Source organism: Homo sapiens, chromosome 18, assembly GCF_000001405.40.
Source record: "Homo sapiens chromosome 18, GRCh38.p14 Primary Assembly".
Lineage (NCBI taxonomy): Eukaryota > Metazoa > Chordata > Mammalia > Primates > Hominidae > Homo > Homo sapiens.
Window position 1 is genome coordinate 70,236,668 of NC_000018.10, and position 27,738 is coordinate 70,264,405.

The 27,738-nt window shown below is 39.3% G+C and overlaps 1 long non-coding RNA gene across 1 annotated transcript, besides 1 other annotated feature; it reads right to left on the reverse strand.

Moving 5' to 3' along the window:
• Positions 322 to 822: an enhancer, noted in NCBI's record as "H3K4me1 hESC enhancer chr18:67904225-67904725 (GRCh37/hg19 assembly coordinates)". NCBI's record gives its function as "activates a minimal SCP1, AML or CMV promoter by ChIP-STARR-seq in naive H9 embryonic stem cells {active_cell/tissue: H9 hESC(naive)}" and the evidence as "EXISTENCE:reporter gene assay evidence [ECO:0000049][PMID:30033119]".
• LOC107985158 (uncharacterized) lies at positions 14,108 to 27,738 on the reverse strand. Its single transcript, XR_001753494.1, has 3 exons — positions 27,707 to 27,738; positions 18,648 to 18,715; positions 14,108 to 14,420 (listed from the first exon to the last, which is right to left on the reverse strand). It is a non-coding gene; the product is annotated as an uncharacterized LOC107985158 (long non-coding RNA).

A 27,738-nucleotide genomic window follows, 5' to 3' on the forward strand; every position in this document is an offset into this window, starting at 1 on the left:
AGAGACAGTGCATTCCGGCCCAGATACTGCACCTTTCCCACGGTCTTCGCAACCCGCAGACCAGGAGATTCCCTCGGGTGCCCTGGGTTTCAAGCACAAAACTGGGTGGCCATTTGGGGAGACACCCAGCTAGTTGCAGGAGTTTTCTTTTTTTTTTTTTTTTCATACACCAGTGGCGCCTGGAATGTCAGCGTGACAGAACCGTTCACCCCCCTGAAAAGGGGGCTAAAGCCAGGGAGCCGAGTGGCCTTGCTCAGTGGATCCCACTCCCACAGAGCCCAACAAGCTAAGATCCACTGGCTTGAAATTCTCACTGCCAGCACAGCCGTCTGAAGTCGACCTGGGACATTCTAGCTAGGTGGGGGAAGGGGCGTCCACCATTACTGAGGCTTGAGTAGGCAGTTTTCCCCTCACAGTGTAAACAAAGCCTCCTGGAAGTTCAGGTTGGGCAGAGCCGACCGCAGGGCCACAAAGCCACTGTAGCCAGACTGCCTCTCTAGATTCCTCCTCTCTGGGCAGGGCATCACTGAAATAAAGGCAGCAGCTCCAGTCAGGGGCTTATAGGTAAAAGTCCCATCTCGCTGGGACAGAGCACTTGGGGGAAGGGGTGGTGTGGGCTCAGCTTCAGCAGACCTAAACGTTCCCACCTGCTGGCTCTGAAGACAGCAGTAGATCTTCCAGCGCAGTGCCTGAGCTCTGCTAAGGGACAGACTGCCTCCTCAAGTAGGTCCCTGACACGTGTGCCTCCTGATGGGGAGACACCTCCCAGCAGGGGTTGACAGACACCTCATACAGGAGCACTCCGGCTAGCATCTGGCAGGTGCCCCTCTGTGACAAAGCTTCCAGAGGAAGTAGCAGGCAGCAATCTTTGCTGTTCTGCAGCCTCTACTGGTGATACCCAGGCAAACAGGGTCTGGAGTGGACCACCTGCAAACTCCAGCAGACCTGCAGAAGAGGGGTCTGTTAGAAGGTAAACTAACAAACAGGAAGCAATAGCATCAACATCAACAAAAAGGATTACCACTCAAAAACTCCATCCAAAAGTCACCAACATCAAAGACCAAAGGCAGACAAATCCACAAAGATGAGGAGAAACAAGCGGAAAAAAGGCTGAAAATTCCAAAAAGCAGAACACCTCTTCTCCTCCAAACGATCACCGTTCCTTGCCAGCAAGGGAACAAAACTGGATGGAGAATGAGTTTGACAAAGTGACAGAAGTAGGCTTCAGAAGGTGGGTAATAACAAACTTCTCCAAGCTAAAGGAGCATGTTCTAACCCAATTCAAGGAAGCTAAGAACTTTGATAAAAGGTTACGGGAAATGCTAACTAGAATAACTAGTTTAAAGAAGAACATAAATGACCTGATGGGGCTGAAAAACACAGCACGAGAACTTTGCGAAGCATATACAAGTATCAATAGCCAAATTGATCAAGCGGAAGAAAGGATATCAGAGATTGAAAATCAACTTAATGAAATAAAGTGTGAAGACAAGATTAGAGAAAAAAGAATGAAAAGGAACGAACAAAGCCTCCAAGAAATATGGGACTATGTGAAGAGACCAAACCTATGTTTGATTGGTGTACCTGAAAGTCATGGGGAGAATGGAATCAAGTTGGAAAACACTCTTCAGGATATTACCCAGGAGAACTTCCCCAACCTAGCAAGACAGGCCAGCATTCCAATTCAGGAAATACAGAGAACACCACAAAGATACTCCTTGAGAAGAACAACCCCAAGACACACAATCATCAGATTTACCAAGGTTAAAATGAAGGAAAAATTGTTAAGGGCAGCCAGAGAGAAAGGTTGGGTTACCCACAAAGGGAAGCCCATCAGACTAACAGTGGATTCTCTGCAGAAACCCTACAAGCCAGAAGAGAATGGGGACCAACATCCAACATTGTTAAAGAAAAGAATTTTCAACTCAGAATTTCATATCCAGCCAAACTAAGCTTCATAACTGAAGGAAAAATAAAACCCTTTACAGACAAGTAAATGCTGAGGGATTTTGTCACCACCAGGCCTGCCATACAAGAACTCCTGAAGGAAGCACTAAATATGGAAAGGAGAAACTGGTACCAGCCACTGCAAAAACATACCAAAAAGTAAAGACCATCGACACTATGAAAAAACTGCATCAACTGATGGGTAAAATAACCAGCTAGCATCATAATGACAGGATCAAATTCACACATAACAATATTAGCCTTAAATGTAAATGGGCAAATGCCCCAGTTAAAAGACACAGACTGGCAAATAGGATAAAGAGTCAAGACCTATTGGTGTGCTGTATTCAGGAGACCCATCTCAAGTGCAAAGACACACATAGGCTCAAAATAAAGAGATGGAGGAAGATTTACCAATCAAATGGAAAGCAAAAAAAGGCAGGGGTTGCAATCTTAGTCTCTGATAAAACCAACTTTAAACCAACAAAGATCAAAAAATAACAAAGAAGGGCATTACATAATGATAAAAGGATCAATGCAACAAGAAGAGCTAACTATCCTAAATATATATGCCCCCAATACAGGAACACCCAGATTCATAAAGCAAGCTCTTAGAGACCTACAAAGAGACTTAGACTCCCACACAATAACAGTGGGAGACTTTAACACCCCACTGTCGATATTAGATCAACGAGACAGAAAATTAACAAGGATATTCAGGACTTGAGCTCAGCTCTGGACCAAACAGACCTAATAGGCATCTACAGAACTCTCCACCCCAAATCAACAGAATATACATTCTTCTCAGCACCTCATTGCACCTATTCTAAAACTGACCACATAATTGGAAGTGAAACACTCCTCAGCAAATGCAAAAGAATGGAAATCATAAGAAGCAGTCTCTCAGACCACAGTGCAATCAAATTAGAACTCAGGATTAAGAAACTCAGTCAAAACTGCACAACTACATGGAAACTGAATAACCTGCTCCTGAATGACTACTGGGTAAATAATGAAATTAAGGCAGAAATAAATAAGTTCTTTGAAACCAATGAGAACAAAGACATAACGTACCAGAATCTCTGGGACACGGCTAAAGCAGTGTTTGGAGGGAAATTTATCTCACTAAATGCCCACAGGAGAAAGCAGGAAAGATCTAAAATCGACACCCTAACATCACAATTAAAAGAACTAGAGAAGCAAGAGCAAACACATTCAAAAACTAGCAGAAGACAAGAAATAACTAAGATCAGAGCAGAACTGAAGGAGATAGAGACACAAAAACCCCTTCAAAAAAAATCAATGAATCCAGGAGCTGGTTTTTTGGAAAGATTAACAAAATAGATAGACTGCTAACCAGACCAATAAAGAAGAAAAGAGAGAAGAATCAAATAGATGAAATAAAAAATGATAAAGGGGAGATCACCACTGATCCCACAGAAATACAAACTATCATCAGAGAATACTATAAACACCTCTACAAAAATCTAGAAGAAATGGACACATTCCTGGACACATACACCCTCCCAATTGAGGGTGGGTGTTCCTCAATACACAATTGAGGAACATTGATGCGAAAATCCTCAATAAAATACTGGCAAACCAAATCCAGCAGCACAGTAAAAAGCTTATCCACCGTGATCAAGTTGACTTCATCCCTGAAATACAAGGCTGGTTCAACATACGCAAATCAATAAATGTAATCCATCACATAAACAGAATCAATGACAAAAACCACGTGATTATCTCAATAGATGCAGAAAAGGCCTTCGACAAAATTCAACACCCCTTCATTCTAAAAACTTTCAATAAACCAAGTATTGATGGAGCGTATCTCAAAATTATAAGAGCTATTTATGACAAACCCACAGACAATATCATACTGAATGGGCAAAAACTGGAAGCATTCCCTTTGAAAACCAGCCCAAGACAAGGATGCCCTCTCTCACCACTCCTATTCAACATAGAATTGGAAGGGCAATCAGGCAAGATAAGAAATAAAGTGTGTTCAAATAGGAAGAGAGGAAGTCAAATTATCCCTGTTTGTAGATGACATGATTGTATATTTAGAAAACCCCATCATCTCAGCCCCAAAACGTAAGCTGACAAGCACCTTCAGCAAAGTCTCAGGATACAAAATCAATGTGCAAAAATCACAAGCATTCCTATACACAAATACACAGAGAGCCAAATCATGAGTGAACTCCCATTCACAATTGCTATGAAGAGAATAAAATACCTAGGAATCCAGCTTACAAGGGATGTGAAGGACCTCTTCAAGGAGAACTACAAACCACTGCTTAAAGAAATAAGAGAGGACACAAGCAAATGGAAAAACATTCCATGTTCATGGATAGGAAGAATCAATATCATGAAAATGGTCATACTGCCCAAAGTAATTTTTAGATTAAATGCTATTCCCATAAAGCTACCATTGACTTTCTTCACAGAATTAGAAAAAACTACTTTAAATTTCATATGGAACCAAAAAAGAGCCCGTATAGCCAAGACAATCCTAAGCAAAAATATAGAAGCTGGAGGCATCATGCTACCTGACTTCAAACTATACTACAAGGCTATAGTATCCAAAACAGCTTGGTACTGGTACCAAAACAGATATATAGACCAATGGAACAGAACAGAGGGCTCAGAAATAACACCACACATCTACAACCATCTGATCTTTGACAAACCTGACAAAAACAAGCAATGGGGAAAGGATTCCCTATTTAATAAATGGTGTTGGGAAAACTGGCTAGCCATATGCAGAAAACTAAAACTGGACCCCTTCCTTACACCTTATACAAAAATTAAGTCAAGATGAATTAAAGATTTAAATGTAAGACATAAAACCATAAAAACCCTAGAAGAAAACCTGGGCAATACCATTCAGGATATAGGCATGGACAAAGACTTCATTACTAAAACACCAAAAGCAATGGCAACAAAAGCCAAAAATGAAAAATGGGATCTAACTAAACTAAAGAGCTTCTGCACAGCAAAAGAAACTATCATCAGGGTGAACAGGCAACCTACAGAATGGGAGAAAATGTTTGCAATCTATCCTTCTGACAAAGGGCTAATATCCAGAATCTACAAGGAACTTAAACAAATTTACAAGAAAAAAACAACCCCATCAAAAGGTGGGCAAAGGATATGAACAGACACTTTTCAAAGGAAGACTTTCATCATCACTGGTCATTAGAGAAATGCAAATCAAAACCACAGTGAGATACCATCTCACGTCAGTTAGAATGTCAATCATTAAAAAGTCAGGATACAGGCCGGGCACTGGAGCCCAGGAGTTCAAGACCAGCGTGGGAAACACAGGGAGACCCTGTCTCTATTAAAAGTTACCTAAGTGTGGTGGCTTAGCTAATCTGTAGTCCAAGCTACTTGGAAGGCTGAGGCAAAAGGATGGATTGAGCTCAGGAGGTCGAGGTGGTCAAGGCTGCAGTGAGCTGTGATCATGCCACTGCACTCCAGCCTGGTGACAGAGTGAGATCCTGTCACAAAAAAGCAGCCGGGTATGGTGGCTCATGTCTGTAATCCCAGCACTTTGGGAGGCTGAGGCAGGTGGGTCACGAGGTCAGGAGTTTGAGACCAGCCTGGTCAACGTGGCGAAACCCCATCTCTACTAAAAATATAAAAGTTAGCTGGATGTGGTGGCGGACACCTGTAATTCCAGCTACTCGGGAGGCTGAGGCAGGAGAATCACTTGAAACCAGAAGGCGGAGGTTGCAGTGAGCTGAGATCACACCACTGCACTCCAGCAACACTTTTACACTGTTGGTGGGAGTGTAAATTAGTTCAATCATTGTGGAAGACAGTGTGGCAATTCTTCAAGGATCTAGAACTAGAAATACTATTTGACCCAGCAATCCAATTACTGAGTATATACCCAAAGGATTATAAATCATTCCACTATAAAGACACATGCACACGTATTTTTACTGCAGCACTATTCACAATAGCAAAGTCTTGGAACCAGTGCAAATGCCCATCAAGGATAGACTGGATAAAGAAAATGTGGCACATATACACCATGGAATACTATGCAGCCATAAAAAAGAATGAGTTCATGTCCTTTGCAGGGACATAGATGAAGCTGGAAACCATCATTCTCAGCAAACTAACACAGGAACAGAAAACCAAACACTGCATGTTCTCACTCATAAGCGGGAGTTGAACAATGAGAACATATGGGCACAGGGAGGGGAACATCACACACTGGGGCCTGTCGGGGGGTGGAGGGCAAAGGGAGGCATAGCATTAGGAGAAATACCTAATGTAGATGATGGGTTAATGGGTGAGACAAACCACCATGGCACATGTATACCTATGTAAGAAACCTGCATAGTCTGCACATGTATCCCAGAACTTAAGTATAATTAAAAAAAAAGAAGAAAAAAAATCTCTTTGAAGGGCATGTTCAGTAAATAAATGAAGGTATTTGGCAACGTACAACTCCTATTTGAATATTTATAGCCATGCTAGCCATTTTCAACAACTACTCTTTCATTAGAATAAACAAGAAATTATTGTTTATTCACCATTGCTTTACCAATTGCTTAAACAACAAGCGCATCATTTGCTCAGTGGTAAGATTGTACAAGGAGGAAAAAGTGACAGAGCGTGCTGCATACTTTTCAGAGGCGTGCCTTTGTTGTTGAAATGTTGCTAGGGCGTGGCAGGACCCACAGTTGGAGTGAAAGCAAAGGCTTAGAAAAACTCAAGTATCCGAGGGCACCCCATTCACCGACAATGGAAAAACTCACAAATTAGTGTGATGCTTACGCTGATATTCAGACTGGAGCCAGGCACAAACAACAAAAAATAGTCGTATTAAAAGTTTCAGGGTAATTCTTTCTGAAAGGTCTTTTTTTCTCTATTTAACAATGATACATTGCTTTATACAGATTTGCAGAGCACTACAATACAAAACAAAACATTGGCGGGGCTTAAAGGAGCATGGAATTCCAAATAATGCAATTACTTGAATTTGTAGAAAGACTGATAATTAGCAGTGAACAGCAACAAACGACATCGTTCGCTATTTGGACAAGCAGGAAAATGTAATGGAATCTGGCTCATGATTGTAAGAGGAACTGCCCTATTTACCTTTCCCATAGCCAGAAACAAAAGATCCACACACGATTTAAAACTGTGGTTACAAATAAAATAGTTGATGCTTTAGTTGTTTGTTTACTCAAAACTATTTTTTCTCAAAATTTAACTACAAGGGTACATAAGGCCATGATCTACAACATAATATTCCCTCCCCTTTGCCCTAGCAAAGAATTTAAAAAAAAAAAAGAAAGAAAGAAAAGAAAAAGAAAAGACTATCGCATGAATTTCTGACAACGTTTTGAGGGAAAAAAGTGACTTTTTTTCAGTAGCAATGGAATGTTTTTTTAGTGGGTGGAAACAGTAACAGCAGACACTTCGAAACATAATACTACTCTTTTATTTAATGGAAAAAATACTTTCAAACATATTGCAGTTTATAAAAATATCTGTGTACAGAAAAGTGAAATGTATTACTAGTTTTCAGAATTATAAAAATCGGACAAAAACTCAAGAAAATTTACTTACATGAACAATAGAAGATTTGTTTTGAGATCTAATATAAATAAATATTTTTAAATAGTCATTGTGTTGAGGTGGTTAGGTAATTAGTGCTTTGCTTTTACAAACAAATTCTGTAATGTATGTGTGTGTATGAAAAAGAAACAATATAGATCAGTATTTTTTCATATGGCTATTTTAAGTATGGGGGTACATTTAAGACAATATCATTTATTTAACTTAAAGCCATATTGCACCATATGTAGTCCTACTTGTTTGGATTCACAGGTAAAGTATTGATATAATTATCAATATCTATTGGATGTCCACAGTACTCTATAAAACAAATACTCAGGATGGGCACAGTGGCTTATGCCTGTAATCCCAGCACTTTGGGAGGCTGAGGCGGAAGGATCACTTGAGCCCAAGAATTCAAGACCAGCCTGTCTCTACTAAAAATTAAAAAATAAACTGGGTGTGGTAGCATGTACTTGTATTCCCAGCTACTGTGGAGGTTGAGGCAGGAGGATCGCTTGGGCCAGGGTGTTCGAGGGTGCAGTGAGCTGTGATCCAGCCACTGTCCTTGAAGTTGGGTGACAGAGGGAGACCCTATGTCAAACAAACAAGCAACAACAAAAACTGAGACATTTTTGTACCAAAAATGCATTAAATGAAAAACAATCCAAGCTGACCATTTTCTTTGTGCACCACCCATGTTCCCACAACCTCATACAGGAAGACTTCTGTAGAATTCCTATCATTTGGCCATTCAGTCTTCGCTATCATTTTAATTCCAATATTCTGCTGAGAGAGGAACACAGAAATAGACAGTAGCCAGTGATTCCAAGTCTAGCTGAGCATCAGAATTACACCGGGAGCTGTTTGTGAGAAACATTATAAAGTTATATACGGTCATTCAGGGGAAGAGTAGAGAATTGTAAAAATTAAAAATTAGAAGTTCTTTGTTTCTTTCTTTTACCCCACAACCATTTCCTAGAGTTAAATCCTGTTAACAATTGAATGTACAGTTATGCATTACATAACCACATTTTGGTGAGCAATGGATGTAGTACAGGGTGTCCCATAAGATTATAATGGGGCTGAAAAATTCCTGTAGCCTAATGATGTCATAGCTGTCCTAATGTCATAGTGCAATGCATTAATCATGTTTGTGGTGACGCTGGTGTAAACCTACTGTGCTGCCGGTTGTACAAAAGCATAACATGTACAATTATGAATAGTACATAATACTTGATAATGACAATAAAGGACCATTACTTGTTTATGTATTTACTATACTTTTTTTTTATTATTGTTTTAGAGTGTACTCCTTCGGATAGGGACAGGCAGCAGAGAAATTCTAGGCAGAAAAAGGTGAGTCCCTGGCAAAGTCCCATACTCAAGCCAAAAAGCCTAAGACCACAGCCCAAGGTAAAAACTTACATCCCTGTTTCTGCTCAAATGTTGCCTTTTCCTAAACTACCCGTGGCCCACCCCGCCTCCCACCCCACACTCAACCGACAGAGAGAGGAGAAGCAGCTGGACATCGGACTGGGCCCCTTTGGATTGGTTGCTGTTATTCTCCTCCTGTTTTGGAAACACCCATTTCTAAGTTCAGTTTGATTACCTGGCACTTGGCACAAGTGACCCATTCTGGTTTGGTCTGGTCCGTCGGGGTCTAGTGCAGGAGCTCAGTCTAAAACAATAGCCTCCCATAAACTTGATTTCACAAAGCATATAGGAGGCATGTGGAACTGGAATGCACGCACACTATTTTAAATTATGTGAATCATATTATGCATATACTGTTCTGCAACTTTTTTTGGAACATTTGTTTTCTCACTTAATCTGTGGCAAAGACTTGGTGGTTTATTCATTGAATACACTGAACCAGAGGGGCTCTGGACAAGAGATTTCTGGCATAGCCAAAAGCTTATCAGGCAGGTTCTTGGCAGGAAACAGATGGCACACTTTTCTTAAACTGCAACGAGGGAGAAAACTGGAAGTCTTCATCATGGCAAGTGTGTCCCAGTTTCACTCCCAAACACACAGACAGCCACGTATTCATTCCTTTCTAAGGAAACTGACCACCCAAGAAAGAAAAAGCAAATGTAAAGATAGACCTTGTCACAATATCCCCACATGATACTCACAATACAAAAAAAACGCTGCCTGAACACACACAGCTTCCAAATTAGTCTTTCAGAGCCTCATTTTAAAATAGAAACAGACCATGCGGGATCACTGAACATTTGAAGAAACCCAGACATGAAAGAACAAAACAAAGAAACTCACAGGGACAGAGAAAGCTCAGGAAGCAGGAGGAAATATACATATATAGATAGATATTCTTAAAGTTATGAAAAAAAAAAATTTCCTCCATGAAACAACTGATCTTAAAAAAATAGGAGCATTCAGATAACTAAAACTACTCTGGGAAATTAATATTATGATAGCAAAAATAAAACATGCAATAGAAGGATTGGAAGATAAAGTTGGGGACAGCTCTCAAATAATAAGGTTAAAAAGCAAAGAGATGCAAAATAGGAAAAAAAAAGGATACAAAAATAAAGTCAGAAAAGAGATAAAAATTTCCTTGGTAGGAGTTTCAGAAACAAGGAACAGAGAAAATTGAAAGAGAAATATCAAAGACATAATGTAAGAATATCTCTCCAAACTGAAAGGTAAGAATTTTCAGAGCAAAATTTCCTGTTGAGGGCACAGCACAATGAATGGGAAAAGACAAGTATCAAAGAATATCTTTATAACATTTCAAAATAACACAGATACAAAAGAAGACTCTAAATGTTTCTACAAGGAAAAAATAGGTCATATGTTTCCAGAAGGAGAATTCAAATACCTTGAAGACAATGGGGCAAAGCTTTCATGCTTTTGAGGGCAAATTATTTCCATTCTAGAAATATAAACCTAGTCTGAAATTCAATTAGAAATGAAAAGGAGCTAAATGCACTCTTCCCCAGGAGTTCTCTAGGCTTTCACTGCAACCTCACCTGGAGTTGCAAAACCCTGTGTGATTTAGGCTCTGCTTGATGCACTGAGAAGGATGGCAGAAATCTTATCTCAGAAGGCCCTGTGAGCTGTCTAGAGATCAACACCAACTTTGCAAGTCTGAAGTTCATAGATGTTACCTTACATTTTTGAGATGAGAATATTTATACATGCCCAGCTTTCTATTTCTGTGTTCTCCTGATGCTTCAATAGTAAGTCAACATTGCTGTTTAAATATAAACTCATTAGACTAGACCAAGCCCCAGAGGAGACGGGGAGATGTGGCAAGGGGACAGTGCTCCTTCACAGGAACCCAGCACGGAGTCTCACCCACTCAAAAAACGCCTATTGGGCCAGGCATGGTGGCTCACACTTGTAATCCCAGCACTTTGGGAGGCCAAGGCAGGTGGATCACTTGAAGCCAGGAGTTCGAGACCAGGCTGGCCAACGTGGTAAAACCTCGTCTCTACTAAGAATACAAAAATTAGCCGGGCATAGGGGTGCATGCCTGTAATCCCAGCTGCTTGGGAGGCTGAAGCACAAGAATCACTTGAACCTGGGAGGCAGAGGTTGCAGTGAGCTGAGATCGCGCCACCGCACTCCAGTCTGGGCGACAGAATGAGATTCTGTCTCAAAAAAGAAAAAGAAAAGGAAAAAAAAGTCTATTGACTGGCCAAGTTAATAACATATTCAAAAGACTTCTACTCGGGAGGCTGAGGCAGGACAATCGCTTGAACCCGGGAGGTGCAGGTTGCAGTGAGCCGAGATCGTGCCACTGCACTCCAGCCTGGCAACAGAACGAGACTCCATCTCAAAAAAATAAAAATAAAAAAAAAAAGACTTCAGCTTGGTAAGGGCTGTGAAGCGAGCACAAGCTAGATTCTCTAAATTTGCTCTAAAATTCTGATTTAATAATGTATATTTGTCTTATCTTTTCTAGTCTGAGAATCATTCTAAATGATAGGGAAAACATGTACAAACTTCAGTGGATTTTTTTAAAGGAGGGTTTTCTGATATCTTGTCCTATGCTATTTAAAATTCTTCCTTCTTGTATCTCTCTTTTTTGGGGTTTGTTTTTTTTTTTGGCTTTTGTTTTGTTTGAGACAGAGTCTCTCTCTGTCGCCCATGCTGGAATGCAGTGGCATGATCTTGGCTCACTGTAACCTCCACCGGGACCACAGGCATGTGCCAACACACCGGCTAATTTTTGTTTTCTTTTGTAGAGATGAGATTTTGCCATGTTGCCCAGGCTGGTCTCGAACTCCTGGGCTGAAGTGATCCACCTGCTTCAGCCTCCCAAAGTGCTGGGATTACAGGCATGAGCCTCATGCCTGGACTTGCTTCTTGTATCTCTAAAAATGTTTTTTTATTTTGCTTTGTTTTCAGACTTATTGCAATTTAGCACATTCTGAATATTGGCCTTTCTAACAATATTTTTACAGGCCTGGGCTATCCTTCTAAATCTATTTTTGATTAGGCTTCCTTTTTTTTTTTCTTTGTTCTATATTCATGCTTTTAAAATGTGAGCTCACTGAAAACACATTCACAGTTTGGGGGACTTCTGGCTATTCTCTTATCAGAATCACTAATGATTATATTGATGTAATTTTGGCTTCTGAGAGGTTCCCATTCACTGTATTTGTCAGCAGACGTAGAAACAAAGAAATGGTTAATAGCGCTCTGCAGACTCTCTGTAACCTCATGCAGGCTGTAGGATGTAGCAAACCTCCTGATGGCTGGTGACAAGGGCACGTAATTGACCTCCAGAACAACTTTTTTAAAAAATTATATTTATTTATTGAGACAGGGTCTCACTCTGTTGCCCAGGGTGGAGTGCAGTGGCATGATCTCAGCTCACTGCAACTTTCGCCTCCCCAGGTCAAGCGATTCTCATGCCTCGGCCTCCTGAGTAGCTGGGATTACAGGCGTGCACCACCACGCCTAGCTAATTTTTGTATTTTTAGTAGAGACTGGGTTTCACCATGTTGACTAGGCTGGTCTTGAACTCCTGACCTCAACTGATTCACTGCCTCAGCCCCCAAAGTGCTGGGATTACAGGCGTGAGTCACCGAACCCAGCCCAGAACAGTTTCTATTTTTTCTGTTTTTTTCTATGCATCATAGCCTGCTGCTTCCCAGAAGTTTAGGATCTACCCTTTGTGGCAGTGGTTCACAACCCTGCCTGCACATTTTAATCACCCAGGCAGCTTTTAAACTATACTAGTGCTTGGGCCTCACCTCAGGCTAATAAAATCGGTATCTCTGAGGGCTGTGGCTGTACTAGAATGCCAGACAGACCATCATCCTGATGGCTTTGTGACTGAAAGAACAGCACCCTAGGAAACGGGCGTTATTTGTTGTAACTTTAGTTCTGCTGCGTATGAACCATGCAACCGTAGACAAGTTCCTTACTTAATAGAGTGGAATGGTTAATAATATGATTCCCAGAATCCAGTAAGCCCGGTGTGCATCCTGGCTCTGCCACTTACAAGCTGCGTGACCTTGGGCACGTGATTTAACCTCTTCCAAACTGTGAGCGTTAATAACATTGTCTACTCATTAAAGTTTTGAAAGGATTCAATGGGATAATGTATGTAAAGTACTACAGTGACTGAGTAAATACTAAATGTTAAAAATGTCTTAACAATTGTTGCTCATTTACTTTATTTTCACATGGAAGTGAGAATAATAATAAAACCTACCTCATAGGGTGGTTCCAAAAATTAAAGGAAATGAAAGATTCCCAACATTATACGTAGCCCATAGTAAACACTCAAAAGGCTGCAGTTGTGATTACTCATGAGCATATGAAAAGCAGCAAAATGCGGCCGGGCGCGGTGGTTCACGTCTGTAATCCCAGCACTTTCGGAGGCCGAGGCGGGCGGATCAGCAGGTCAGGAGATCGAGACCATCCTAGCTAACATGGTGAAACCCTGTCTCTACTAAAAATACAAAAAAATTAGCTGGGCGTTGTGGCGGGCGCCTGTAGTCCCAGCTACGCGGGAGGCTGAGGCAGGAAAATGGCTTGAACCCAGGAGGCGGAGGTTGCAGTGAGCCGAGATTCTTCCACTGCACTCCAGCCTGGGCGAGAGAGCAAAACTCCGTCTAAAAAATAAAAAAATTAAAAAGAAAAGCAGCACAACAATACCCGTCTGGTCTACAGCACCGTGGTGTTGTGATGTTACAGGCGGTGAATCCATACCGGTCTGCAGCAACCTCCGTCCTTGACTTCTCGGAAGGAAGAATTCTACTGAGGGGCATATAGCAGGAGAGATCTAGGCAAGTTTCAGAGCAGGAGTGAAAGTTTATTAAAAAACTTGAGAGCAGGCCGGGCGCGGTGGCTCACGCCTGTAATCCCAGCACTATGGGAGGCCGAGGCGGGCGGATCACGAGATCAGGAGATCGAGACCATCCTGGCTAACACGGTGAAACCCTGTCCCTACTAAAAATACAAAAAATTAGCCGGGCGTGGCGGCGGGCGCCTGTAGTCCCAGCTGCTTGGGAGGCTGAGGCGGGAGAATGGCGTGAACCCGGGAGGCGGAGCTTGCAGTGAGCCGAGATCGCGCCACTGCACTCCAGCCTGGGCGACAGAGCAAGACTCCGTTTCAAAACAAACAAACAAAAAAACTTGAGAGCAGGAGCAAAAGGAAGTAACGTACACTTGGAAGAGGGCCAAGCAGGCGGCTTGAGAGAATGTATGCAGTTGGACCTTTGACTTGGGGTTGATACGTTGGAGTACTTCAGGGGGTCGCATCCCTTCTGCCCTGATTCTTCCCTTGGGGTGGGCTGTCCGCATGCGCAGTGAGCTGCCAGCCCTTGGGAGGGGCCACACGCGGAGTGTGTTTACCGCAGCTTTGCACATGCTCTCTTGAGGCGTTCTTCTCTTACCAAATGTTCCTACAGGAAGATCATATACAAATTAAACTCTGCCATTTTTCTCGTACTGTTCATGCTTGAGCCCACTCTCCCAACTCCTGAGATCTTATTGGGAAGCGGCTGATCAGGATTTTTCTATCTATTGGGAGATTGCCTTTCCCTGGCGCTGGCTGGGACCAATTATTATTCTAGAAAGACAGTTTAATAACCTCCTGAGCATCTCCTGATGGTTGCCTGACACCCCTGGTGGTGAGGGGCTGTCTCCTGGCCTGTTCATGTCTGCCTCACTACCTACTCTAAGAGTAATACTCAAATTAATTCTTGGAAGTGAAAAGCACTGCTGATAAAAAAAAGACTAACACTCTGTAAATGTAAGGTATGTGTGTACGTATATAATTGATTTATAATACAGATGTAGAAATGTATTGTGAGTTTCAATTTGCCAATCCCTTTCTATGGTAGGTTGAATAATGTTTCCCTAAAGGTTCACATCCTAATTCCCAGAACCTGAGTGTATGTCACTTTATATAGTAAAGGAAACTTTTCAGGTGTGGTAAAGGAAACTTTTCAGGTGTGGTAAAGGAGACGGTGAGATTATTCTGGATTATCTGGGTGAATCCAATATAATCACAGGGGTCACTGTAAGAAGAAGACAGAGTGATCGGAGTAAGTAGTAGGAGATGTAATGATGGAGCACAAAGTTGAATTGGAATAAGGAAGGGGCTTTGAGCCAAGGAATACAAATGGCCTCTACAAGGTGAAAAAGGCAAACAAATGAATTCTCCCTGAAACCTCCAGAAAGAACCAGCCCTGCCAACACTTTGATTTTAGCCCCAAAAGAATCATTTAAGGCTTCTGACATCTAGAACTACAAGAGAATAAATTTGTGTTCTTTTAAGCCACTAAGTTTGTGTACTTTGTTACAAACAGCAATAGGAAATGAATATATTTCCCTTGAAGTCAAGGAAAATGAAAAGTAAAAATCAAGATGGTTGACCTGCTGACTGCTTTGGGGCACAATATGTTCATGACCTTTATTTACTGGTATTTATTTTTTTTCTGAAGTAGAGACATAAATTGATTGAATGGATTTTTAGTTTTTAATTCTTCCAAGAAAGAAAGGAGTTGCAAATTAATTGAATATTTGTTGAAGACTTAGTCTATGCAAAATTGTGTGTACATACTATCTGGTAGAAATAAAATTGGATAGCAAATATTACACATTTTTATACAATGGGAATTTGAATGGATATAACCTGATTATCTCAACACAATGTCAAAAATACAAATCCATATTGTTTCCTGGTACCTACCAATATAGTTATTTAAGAGTACCAAAATCCTCAAAAACATATTTTTAAAAATGATTCATTGTAATAAAGGAGATCTTTGTTGATAGTAGGGAATTATGTGGTTGTTTTGACTTTGTTACTATGTAGGTATGGTTGCCAGATTTAGTACATAAAAACACAGAGCACACAGTTAAATATGAATTTCAAAAAAACAACAAATAATTTTATAAGTATGCATATAATATTTGTAGAATATTTATACTGAGGAAAAATAATTGTTTATCTGAAATTCAAATTTAATGGGGCCTCCTATATTTTATCTGGCAACCCTAGTTGTATAGCTATTGGTAAAACCAGTATGTTAACATTTATGAAAATCACATCAGAAGAGAGAACTGTAAAATAAAGATCACTTTAATCCTACTAAACATAAGCTTCTGCTGAACCAGAAATGACCATTTATATGATCAGATACCACTGTACATTTGGTCAATTAAACTGCAAATTGAGGCTATTTTTCCTGATGAACATACTTCAGAGATGGATGAAACTCATGAATAATGGATTAATGGTGAAAAATGATATATGGGTTTTAATGACACTGTTACATAAGTAAATCAGTGAAATTTGAAGCAGGAAAAAGAATTAATGGTTGTATAATTATAAGATGCTCCATGGATTATGAAACAGCACGACATCTCCTTAGGGGAATTTGGCCCACAGGGTCATTTCTAGGAAGTATTGGGGCACACATAACCATATTATATGCTTCCTTCTCTTCCTAACCGTCCATTTTATACAGCTGAAATCTAGTTAAATAAATTTCCAAGGCTGTCTGGGGAAAAAAGAAAGGTCACAAAAAGGTAAAGGAAGAATAGCCTCCTCATTTGCTTTAGAAATTTGGGGGAGAGAGTGTAGAGTGAGGGTATTGTTGTCCAATGTAGCAATAACCAACAGGGAGAGGAAGAGAAAAAAATTTGAATAAACCCCTTTATTTTCTCTTGCATTTCTCCTGCAACGAGCCCCTCTAAGACAAATGACTGATGCCATCTATGGTCTAGAGATGGCTTCAAACATGAAATCAAGAAACTGTAAAGTATGACCAGCTGTAGTTTTTACCAGATGTCAGAGTTCCAGTAGTTACAGATTTTAGGGAGCAAGAGACCAGTCAATTGGTAATTTGCAAATAATAGATATATCTTGACCATCAACAATGTTCAAAAGAATTATTCCAAGATGTTTCCAAGCATCAGTTCATAAAATGCACTTGTTTTCGTGTGCTTTTTGATGTTCTCTCCTAACCTTCTCCCCCTTCACCCTCAGCACCCTGGACACAGCAAGCACATGTCAGGCCCAAGTCATAGCCCTTTCTCTGGAGAGTGCCTTTTTAAAAGCCAGCCATGCTTCCTACTACTTTCCAATTCACCATCACCAGTACTGAGAACCTAGAGCTAGTCCTCATTTGCATTTTTTAAAATTATTCTTCTCCATAAAAATATAATTTTGCTCAGGTCTGTGGCTCTATGAAACAGATGTCAAGTGAATTAAATGAAAGTTTTGCTCTTAATAAATACATTTGAATGTAATAAACTGTCTTATAATTTTGATATATTGGTCATCAATTTTCAAGTTTGAGAGATAACCATACTTAAATTGTCTCAGATTGATGAAAATAAAATATGCTTTTCATTCACAGAGGAAACATAAAAGATTAATGATTTGAAGGAAAGCTAAAGCATAGAAAAAGCAAAACCCTACAAGTGGTTAAGAGTTAAACAAAACTATGAATGACCGCAGTGTGATTACAGTTTATCATACTTAGTTCTAAAGCTAAAAATGAATGTAAAATTATATAATAGATGCCACGTTATTGATATTTTTCCTTAATGAGGTAGTCTTTTTTTACTATCAAAAATAATCTTGTATTAAAAGCTTGAAATTGTTTTACTTAAACTTCTATGAGAGTAGTTTCTTTGACGTAATCATTTGAGAGGAGGGTGTCTAAGGAGCAAAGAAGTAAGGGTAAGGTTAATATATTATTACTCAAGAAAAGACCAGAAGCCGTAAAGACTTCCCAATGTGTCTCTTAGAACTAATATTTTATACAAACATATTTATAGATATTGTGCTTGTTTTACTTTAACAAGTTCTATGAAAAAGTATTTGCTCAGCCGGGCGTGGTGGCTCATGCCTGTAATCCCAGCACTTTGGGAGGCCGAGGTGGGTGGATCACGAGGTCAGGAGTTCGAGACCAGCCTGGCCAACATGGTGAAACCCTGTCTCTACTAAAAATACAAAAATTAGCCAGGCGTCATGGTGCACACCTGTAATCCCAAGCTACTTGGGAGGCTGAGGCAGGAGAATTGCTTGAACCCAGGAGGTGAAGGTTGCAGTGAGCCAAGATCACGCCACTGCACTCCAGCCTGGGCAATAGAGCGAGACTTCATCTCAAAAAATAATAATAATAACATTAAAAAATTTAAAAAGTATTTGCTCACTTTTTCACAGCAATGCTGTGGTTCCTCAGAATACCCTTCTCACCGTTATAAGTCATTTTATCATCTTAGGCTACACATAAATAAATCATTTCTTTGCTTCATTGCCTTCTATTACAATTCCCTGAAGTTCATTATCCAATGGAGTGCTGCTACATTTTTTAATACCAGGCATTTTAATGTTGAGTTGTCAGCAATTAGTCTATTTTTTTTCCAGTTAACAAATCTGGATATATATCTCATACAAAATTTACACAGATATTTCAAGTAGGAGTAGACCACAAAAATTACATTTAACCTGAAAATATCATTTTACTAATATCCCTTTCCCAACACTCTCATTCACTTTTTAATGATATCTTAATTAATTTTTCAACTATTTATTGATAAATCTTTAAAACTTAATTTTAAAAAAGAATAGTATTGTGAGCACCCCCACTGCACACATTAGGATATTTTACCTTGATTTTAGTAAGCATCTCCTAAGAAAAGGATATTCTTCTGTATGATGATGATACCATTATCATACCTAGGAAAATAAGCAGTAATTCCCTATTATCATCTAATGCTCAATCTATTTTCAGATTTCCTTAATTTTCTGCAAAATTTTTTCATCACCAGTTTTATTTTAATTCTTAGTTTCAAATTTAATGTAATATTTGTGCTAAGTGAAAATTCTGAGCCAATCCTTTATGTGAATATATAAATATATATCCTATTTTGTTTATGTATAAAGTCTTGATTATATCCAACTAAGACATTTCTGGCCGTTTTATAGGTTATGTGTGTACATCATATTGCATCCCGTCAAGAGGCACGTAATGTTAGATTATTGATCATTTCATGTAAGGCAGATACAGCAATATCACTCTATTGTGGGTACTTGTAAACTTTGTGATTAGCAAATACAGTGAGTCCACTATAATTTAGCAGATGTGGTACTAAAAATCATCAGGTATGAAAAATTGCAAAACAAAAACCACAGGTTTTATGGGGAAAATCAGGTTAAAGACACAACACAAAAACTTCACCAATTACACATTTTTTTAAAAAGCAGGAGCCCAATAAAAATGACAGCACAGTTTTACACATGTTAAATGGTAAATAAATACATGTAAACTATATAAATAGGGCACTTTCCCCTGAAGAGACCTGAAGTTTGCACGTAGAAGCGGGTGACAGGATGACTCTTCCGGATTAAATCAGGTATAAGCAAGTGCAAAATCAGCATTGTGTTCAAATTGTTCCCTAATATATTTATATAGAAGTAAATTGTGGTATTAAAACAAGCTGTAGAAGAACATCATCTGTGGGTTAATACTTTGACACCCTATGAATATCCTATTTCTCAACACCCTTTCTCTTATTGGTTTTAGTATCCATTGATTATCCCTGTCTGAGTCAATTACTGCAACGGCAGTTGCAAAATGGTGACTTTCTAATTCCATCAATCCTTCTACATTTATGAGCTGACATTGGTCTGCAGAAAGAGACTTTCCACTTCCGTATGGGCGATGGTCTCAGTATTACCCTTTGTACTAGGCACAAGTCTAGTCCTTCTTCTTTTGGGGCTGTCCTTGAAATGTTTTAAAGCCATGATTTTGGATTCCCTCAGTCTTCTTGACTCCCAATTTCTTTAACTGTCCCTCAGATCACATGCTTTAAAATTATTTCACTGTCCTGATCACTTTCGTTTGAATAACCTCCGATAGCACATAGACAATATAACTTTTCAGATGGGATTTGATGGAATAGATTGAGAAAGCTGCCTTTCTCACTCTGGACATTACCCTTCTTTTCTTGCAGCTCAAGGGCAGCGTAGCTTTGCTAAGAGTCACATCTTGCTGTTGACTCATATTTTCACTACAATTGCTGAGCTACATTTCCTCCAATCTCACTTGTTCATTTTCTTTTAGGACCAAATATCATGAACTTACTGTGTTAAATCTCATCATAGTAGATTCAACCCAATTGTGCAGATCTTTCTGTTACTCAGTTTTCTATGCTGGCTATAAATCTACGGAGCTTCATATTTTCATCTAAGTCATTAATAAATTTGATCAGCAAAGGGCCAAGGACACAGTTTGCCCTTGATTATGGTCATTTTGACATGTGCTGATTATGGTCATTTTCACATGTCCTGATTATGATCATTCACCGAGGGCTCAATCTATCACACTGTTCTTGCCTCCAGCTAACATTTCTTCCTTTAATCCTCAAAGATATGATATGAGAGACGTTGTCACATGCTTTGCTGAAGTTCAAATACCCTGAGTCTACATTTTGCCCCTTAATTACCCCTTTAGTCACACTGTCTAAAAAAGAAATAAGACTACTGTGGCGTCACATGGTTTTGGTGAAGCCATCACACAGCCTGCACAGCCTTGTGATCCCGGCTTCACTTTCAAGGAGCTTACAAACTGCTGAGTATCAACCAACTCATTCATCAATGCAACAAAAGCAACTGTTTTCAAGAAGTGAAAATGAAATATTTTTAGGAAGAATTACCTTAAAATTAAAATAAAATATGAATTTATAATGCTTGCTTATTTAAAATTTTTAAAATTTTGACTGTGCTTTGACCATGGATGAATGTTACAGAATTATGAAAATATAATAAATGGCAGTATGCCTACTTGATTCTAAAAGAAGACTTTTCCTTTAAGTTTTTGATGCACTGTCTTAAGTTTAATTTTTTAACGTATTTTGAACAAATTCCCATTATTGTAAAGGATTTACAGTTTTTTAAAGGATAAAATGTTGAAGTCAGTTTTATTCCCCAAACCTGCTTTTAAAATTTTTACATCATTAGTTTGTAACACTGGCTATGAAGCCTCATTAAATAACATTTCAACATTACTGACTTTATGTGATGTTTGCTAGGTCTATAAATCTACCTAAACAGAGAAAGGAGAAATCAGTTAACAGAGTTCAACCAAAGGGATCAATCAGTAATTTTATGGCAGGCGATCCTGAAAATGGATTGATCTGTGTTAAAATTCTAGCATTTGCAGTTAGGGAGAAATTCGTGCAGTTGAGTCTATGTAGCATTATTTCATAAAACTAAAATATGAGTGAGAAAAAGTGTGATGACTAATTTTGTATAAACTTAGAACTCTAAAGAAGTGTTTTTGGCAATACATTTTACTAGACCTATGACAACACTATCTTTGTCTTTGAATTGATATAGGAAAATCAGTCTGTAGCACAATTCTCAGATTTCTCTGGTGAGTTAGTACTTCTGAAAACCAACAGAAGAAGTTATGTGATTAAAATTTTAGAGACATATATATGTACTCACTCTGATGCATCTAAGTGTTTGTTCTGTTTATTTTAGGATGTTAAGACAGTTAAAGAGCTAACACCCGAGCTTAAGAATCTTGAGACATAATGTGACTATGTAAATCACTTAGTAGTATATCATATGTATAATATATAATCCTTTCATAGTAGAATGTCAGGCATCTAATCCAAGAAAAATAATATGCTTAATGTTATCACAATATGTGGAAGCATAATTTCAATGTTACAAAGTAGAAAACATTGAAATCAACTTACATCAATTCAAGAACTAATAGCATCAACCCTATTTAAAAGAGGATAATTTAATTACTTTGTTTCCTGGAAAGGGAAACAAGCACTTTACCTTTGATTTATTTCATGGAATACCACAAGGGATTCTGAATCTAAATATTACTTGGTAATTTTCTTCTTATGTTGAAATATCAATCTTTTTTCTAAAATGTCCAATACTGTAATTGTTACATTAATCAAGAAATAAAACCCATAAGGCAAATGATTTCCTTCTCTTCACATTGAAAACAGAATATAAATCGTCTGCTTCTTTTCAGTGATTTTTAAAAATCTAGATAATCACTATATATTTTTAAATCGAGATAATATTCTAGTATTATTGTTTATCATGCTAACCTATATTTTAGGGAATTACGGGATATATATTATACAAATGAAACCAATTGGTTAGTAATAAACTACACAAAATATATTTTATTATGGAGAGTTTAACATTAATTTCAGCTGACCTTCCTATGAATTTATTTATTTCTCCTCCCTTCCTTCACTCCATCTAAATAAACTCTATGTTAATTACAAACTGAGCTCTGGCTCAGGAAATTACTGATCCTGCTTTTTATCTATTTGTAGTGAGTTACCTAGAACTATAAAATTAGTGGAATAGAGCACTGTCCAGGTTCCATGCCAATTACTTTTAAAATGAACCTCTTTTAAAATGAACACTGTGCTAATATGTGTATTTGATTTAGAAAATGATTTGTAAAATTAGAAGAAAACCTTGGCTTAGCTTTTGTAATGCCCTAACAATCCAAGTCCATTATCTTCCTCGGATTGATGAGTTCCACTGTGAATGGCATTTAATTAAATAAGGTAATGCATGTTCTTATTAATATGAATGTTCTTATTTATCTTATATGAGGGCGTTCACATAGTAAAGAAAGTCAGATTATAATGGTTACATTAAAAATATTTTTCAGGCTGGTGAATTCAAAAGGGTTTTGAAATGTAATTGCTCTCTATACATTTTTTTCTCATAACTTTTTTCTCATAATTATCTCATAATTATTTTGTTCTAAATTAATTTCATAAATTGATAAATTAAGCTTCTAATTTTTTTCTCATCTATTTTTAGATAAACAAAAGGTATTTGATTCTTAGATATGCTGGTCATGTTTGTTTTACTTACTTTTACAAAAATAAACTTTCCCCCCTTTTTAATATAAACATATTTGTGTATAATTCACAGTATTAAGTGATCATAAAAGCAAAGACATTCCTGGAAAAGAAAATCCTGACATAATTTGTTCTGAATGTTAACATCTAACATTATGTCACATTTTCTATCAGAAATAGATATCAGATAATGCATATACTCTATGAATTAGAGTCTTAGCTTTGACAAGTAAATTCCAAATAAGAAAGAAAATAGGAATGTAGCCATTTCTGGAATATAAAAAACATTTAGATTAATTAGTATCCTTTCACATACACAGACACACACACACACACACATGCAAAATAAATGACATAATAATGGATTTCAAATTATGGAAAAATTTATATTAAGAGAACATGGAAAAAATGTCTATTTGCAATAAATGTTACAATAAAAAAATGGGCTCAGGTGGAGGGTATTTTTATTGGCCCAATGAAAGAAGGTTTTTACTTTCCACTGATAAACAATGGAAAGGAAGTTGCTTACTAGAAGTAGTTTATCAGAAGAATAGATAACAGAAGAAGTTTTCTGACCGATTTAGACATTCATTTAACTAGAAAGAAAAAAGAAGAAAGAGAAAGGGTAGTTAAGGAAAAAAAAGGAAAGAATGGAATTCATGGATCAGTGAAATGTACAGGTCATTTAAAATTATAAGTTAAACAATTTTTAAATATTTTCATAGAAACCTAATAATTATTATACAATAGTTTGAGAAATAACAGAAGAGCCAATTTGATTTTAGTTTAATTTACAAATCATAGCCTCTGTGGGATGCTAATGGCCTCAAAGCAGGCATCCAGATTGATGTTAATTAGTTAATTATGTTCTCAAAGGAATACAATTTCAGAGTGTTATTTCTAAGATATTTTAGAAGGTAATGAGGCTCTGAAATTATAGTTGAAATGGCATTAATAAAGAAGAAAAACCAATGGCAGAAAGTATTAAAACATCTAATGTACATATGTGAAGATAAAAGAATGATGGTATAAGTATGTCAGAGTTTGATGGGAGACACAGACCCACTCTACATATTATTTATTATACAAATATTGTGTGTTACAAGAATTGACCTAATACCACCATGGGAAAGGGTTGGGCAGTCGCTGTAGGACTGTAGTCTTTCTGTCTGGTGTTTGACCTTCAGTCTGCAGGTCCACAGGCAGGAAGGGAAAACAGATGGAAAGTGGAAAAGAATAAAGGAAACTGGAACCCATGGGCATAAGCTGGAGCCCACAGAGACAGACTGGAGCCTGGTGAGTCTTGTCTCTGCCAACGCCGATGACGTGGGTGTCCTGCAGGGGAAGCTGGCATTTTTGTTTTGGAGCTGAACACACATGTGGCCCAAGCATCAGAGAAGCTATGGGAGGATCTGGGGTTGACAGAACAGCTGCAGGCCCAGGTACTTCCCACACCAGTGAGGGCAGCCAGCAGGCAAACGCCAATGGGCACGAGTTGCCACAATATCTGGTGCCTCCACAGATCCTCGAGCCTAAAATTTACTCTACTTCCCCTTTTCAAATATATCTGTGACCCACACTAACTAGAAACATACAGGGACGAGAATTTTGGAAAATGTCGTCCAGCCTAGCCAAGTTAGCATATTGCCAGGCCATCGGAGTATGCTTAGGGATTAACCAGGAAATGAGATGACAGCATGGTTCTAAGATGTAAGCTCCAATTAAATGCCTCCAAGCTACAGACTTGCATCGCATCCACTTGCGTGCCGTATGAAGAAAAGGTGCTGTGTCAATCAGAGTGCTGGCAGAAACAGAAGGCAGTCCTAAAGGGTTTAACCAAAGAAAGCTTGGGAAAGCAGCCGACCACAGAGTGGTGAGCCAAAATAAAGACACTAACTAGGGATAACAAAGCACCCATGAACTGGCAACAGTGGGAAGCCATTACCACCCACAGGCTCCAGGCAGCAAGAGGAAAGAGCAGCTCCAGTGAGCCATGGAGGGTGACAGAGGGAGATCTCAACAAAGCCTAAAGCGGAGGAAGGCAGCCTCTGTCCAACCTGCACCTAGCAAAGAGGGGGCAAAGGGAATCAAACACCCCAAATTCTTTCTGCTCTGGATCTTCCATCACATACTATTTACCATCATTGCTAAACCCACATGGACGCCAGCAGGCAAGGAAGCCCCAGGCAATGCCATCCATAGACAGCAGCCTCCTAGACCACAGAGTAGAGTGGAGATGAGTGAAGGGTGGATTGGAGTGAGAAACAGAGTAAGCAGCACACACAATCCATCTCAAGTAAAATGACCTCCTTTCATAAGCACACACGGTTTTTAAGTGACATTTGCTGCTTCTGCTGAAAATCTTACTAGTCAATAATGCAATTTTGTAAATATTATTTAGGGATCAAATTTCTAGGAAATACTAAATCACTCAAAATGTAGTGTTGTTCCAAAGAGTCTGCTCCACCAGTTTCATTGTTTTTTCTTTGCTGTTTAATGTCATGCTCTCTCAGGCACCAGGATAATACTTGTGAGCAAGTGCGGACTCTACGAGTGCACCCTCCCCACTGCTTGATGGGCTTGCAACTCACCAGCTATAGGGTCCCAGCTCCCTTTCCCACTCTCCAGTCCTCCACCCACCAAACCCATGCCCCCTGCCCTAGCTAAGGATGTTAAGTTGAGGCAACACCTCCTCTTCCCATGGGCCTGGTGACACCACCCACAGTGGACCCGTGATCCCTAAGGCTATTGCAACTTCCATTCAGGAACAAGTGAGTTACCTGGAAAGAGGGTGGGCAGATCTCTCCTCCCCTCCTGTCACCCTGAATGAACCATGAAGCTGACTGTCCAACGTGGGGGCACGATATGGTTTGGCTGTGTCCCCACCCAAATCTCATCTTGAATTGTAGCTCCCATAATTCCCATGTGTCATGGGAGGGAGTCAGTGGGAGGTAATTGAATCATGGGGCAGGTCTTTCTCATGCTATTCTCATGACAGTGAATAAGTCTCATGACATCTGATGGTTTTATAAAGGGGAGCTCCCCTGCACATGTGCTCTTGCCTGCCACCATGTAGGACATGACTTTGCTCCTCATTTGCCTTTAGCCATGGTTGTGAGGCCTCTCAGCCATGTGGAACTGTGAGTCCATTAAACCTCTTTCATTTATAAATTACCCAGTCTCAGGTACGTCTTTATCAGCAGCATGGGAACAGACTAATACAGTAAATTGGTACTAGGTAGTGGGGCACTGCTGTAAAGATACCCAAAAATGTGCAAGCAATCTTGGAACTGGGTGACAGGCAGAGGGTGGAACAGTTTGGAGTGCTCAGCAGAAGACAGAAAAATGTGAGAAAGTGGAACTTCCTAGAGATTTGGAGGGCTCAGGAAACAGGAAGATGTGGGAAAATTTGGAACTTTCTAGAGATTTGTTGAATGGCTTTGACCAAAATGCTGATAGTGATATGGACAATAAAGTCCAGGCTGAGGTGGTCTCAGGCTGAGGAACTTGTTGGGAACTGGAATAAAAGTCACTCTTGCTATGCAAAAAGATTAGCAGCATTTTGATCCTGCCCAGAGATATGTGGAACTTTGAACTTGAGAGAGATTATTTGCGGTATCTGTTAGAAGAAATTTCTAAGCGGCAAAGCATTCAAGAGGTGAGAGTGCATAAAAGTTTGGAAAATTTGCAGCCTGATGATTCAGTAGAAAAGGAAAAACCATTTTCTGGGGAGAAATTCAAGCCAGTGGCAGAAATTTGCGTAAGTAAATAGGAGCCAAATGCAAATCACCAAGACAATGGGGAAAATGTCTCTAGGATATGTCAGAGACCTTCACAGCAGCACCTCCCATCACAGGCCTCAGGCCTAGGAGGGAAAAATGGTTTCGTGCACTAGTCCCAGGGTCCCCCTGCTCTGCACAGCCTTGGGACATAGTGCCCTGCATCCCAGCTGTTTCAGCTCCAGCCATGGCTAAAAGAGGCCAAAGTGTAGCTCAGGCCATGGCTTCAGAGGGTGCAAGCCCCAAGTCTTGGCGGCTTACATGTGGTGTTGGGCCTGTGGGCAACTGTGACAGCCCAGGGTAGGGCTTTAGAGTTGTTGTTTTTTTTTCTAAAAATTCTCTCAGTGATTTTAACCATAAGTAAAATGACGCCAACTTCCTGAAGAGATGCTACCCCTTGTTACTGGAAATTTTTGTGAATATTCATGAAATGGAACATAATTATTGAATATCATAGGCCTTGAGATAAAGATTGTTTTTGGTTTGCTTTTATTTTTCTCTAATTTGGTGATGGGATTTTCTATTTGTTAATTAGGCATTAAATGATGTTTTCTTCTGACTATATTTCCAGTAACAAGATATGTCTAATACTGTCATAGGGTGACAAGGACTCTTGTGAACCAAGCCTGGCTCTGATAAAAAGTTGGAAGATATTTTATGGAGTTAGAGTTTTAATTCCTGTTCTCTAAAAAAGCCACTATTTCACATCTTTCCAGATGTTAAGGTGTGGAACTTTATCCTGACACTGATAATGTGAATTACTCTTAGATAAATGTTAACTTCCCTTGCCTGTTTTGGAGGGATGGGGTCTCACTCTGTCATCCAGGCTGGAATGCAGGGGTGCCATCGCAGCTTCCTGCAGCCTCAACTGTCCAGGCTCAAGCAAACCTCCCACCTTAGACTCCTGAGTAGCTGGGATCATATGTGTGCACCACCATGCCCGGCTAATTTTTTTTTTTATTATTTGTAAAGATGAGGTCTTGCCATGTTGCCCAGGCTGGTCTCGAACTACTGGGCTCAAGCCATCTTCTCACCTGTGTCTCTCAAATTGCTGGGATTCTAGGTG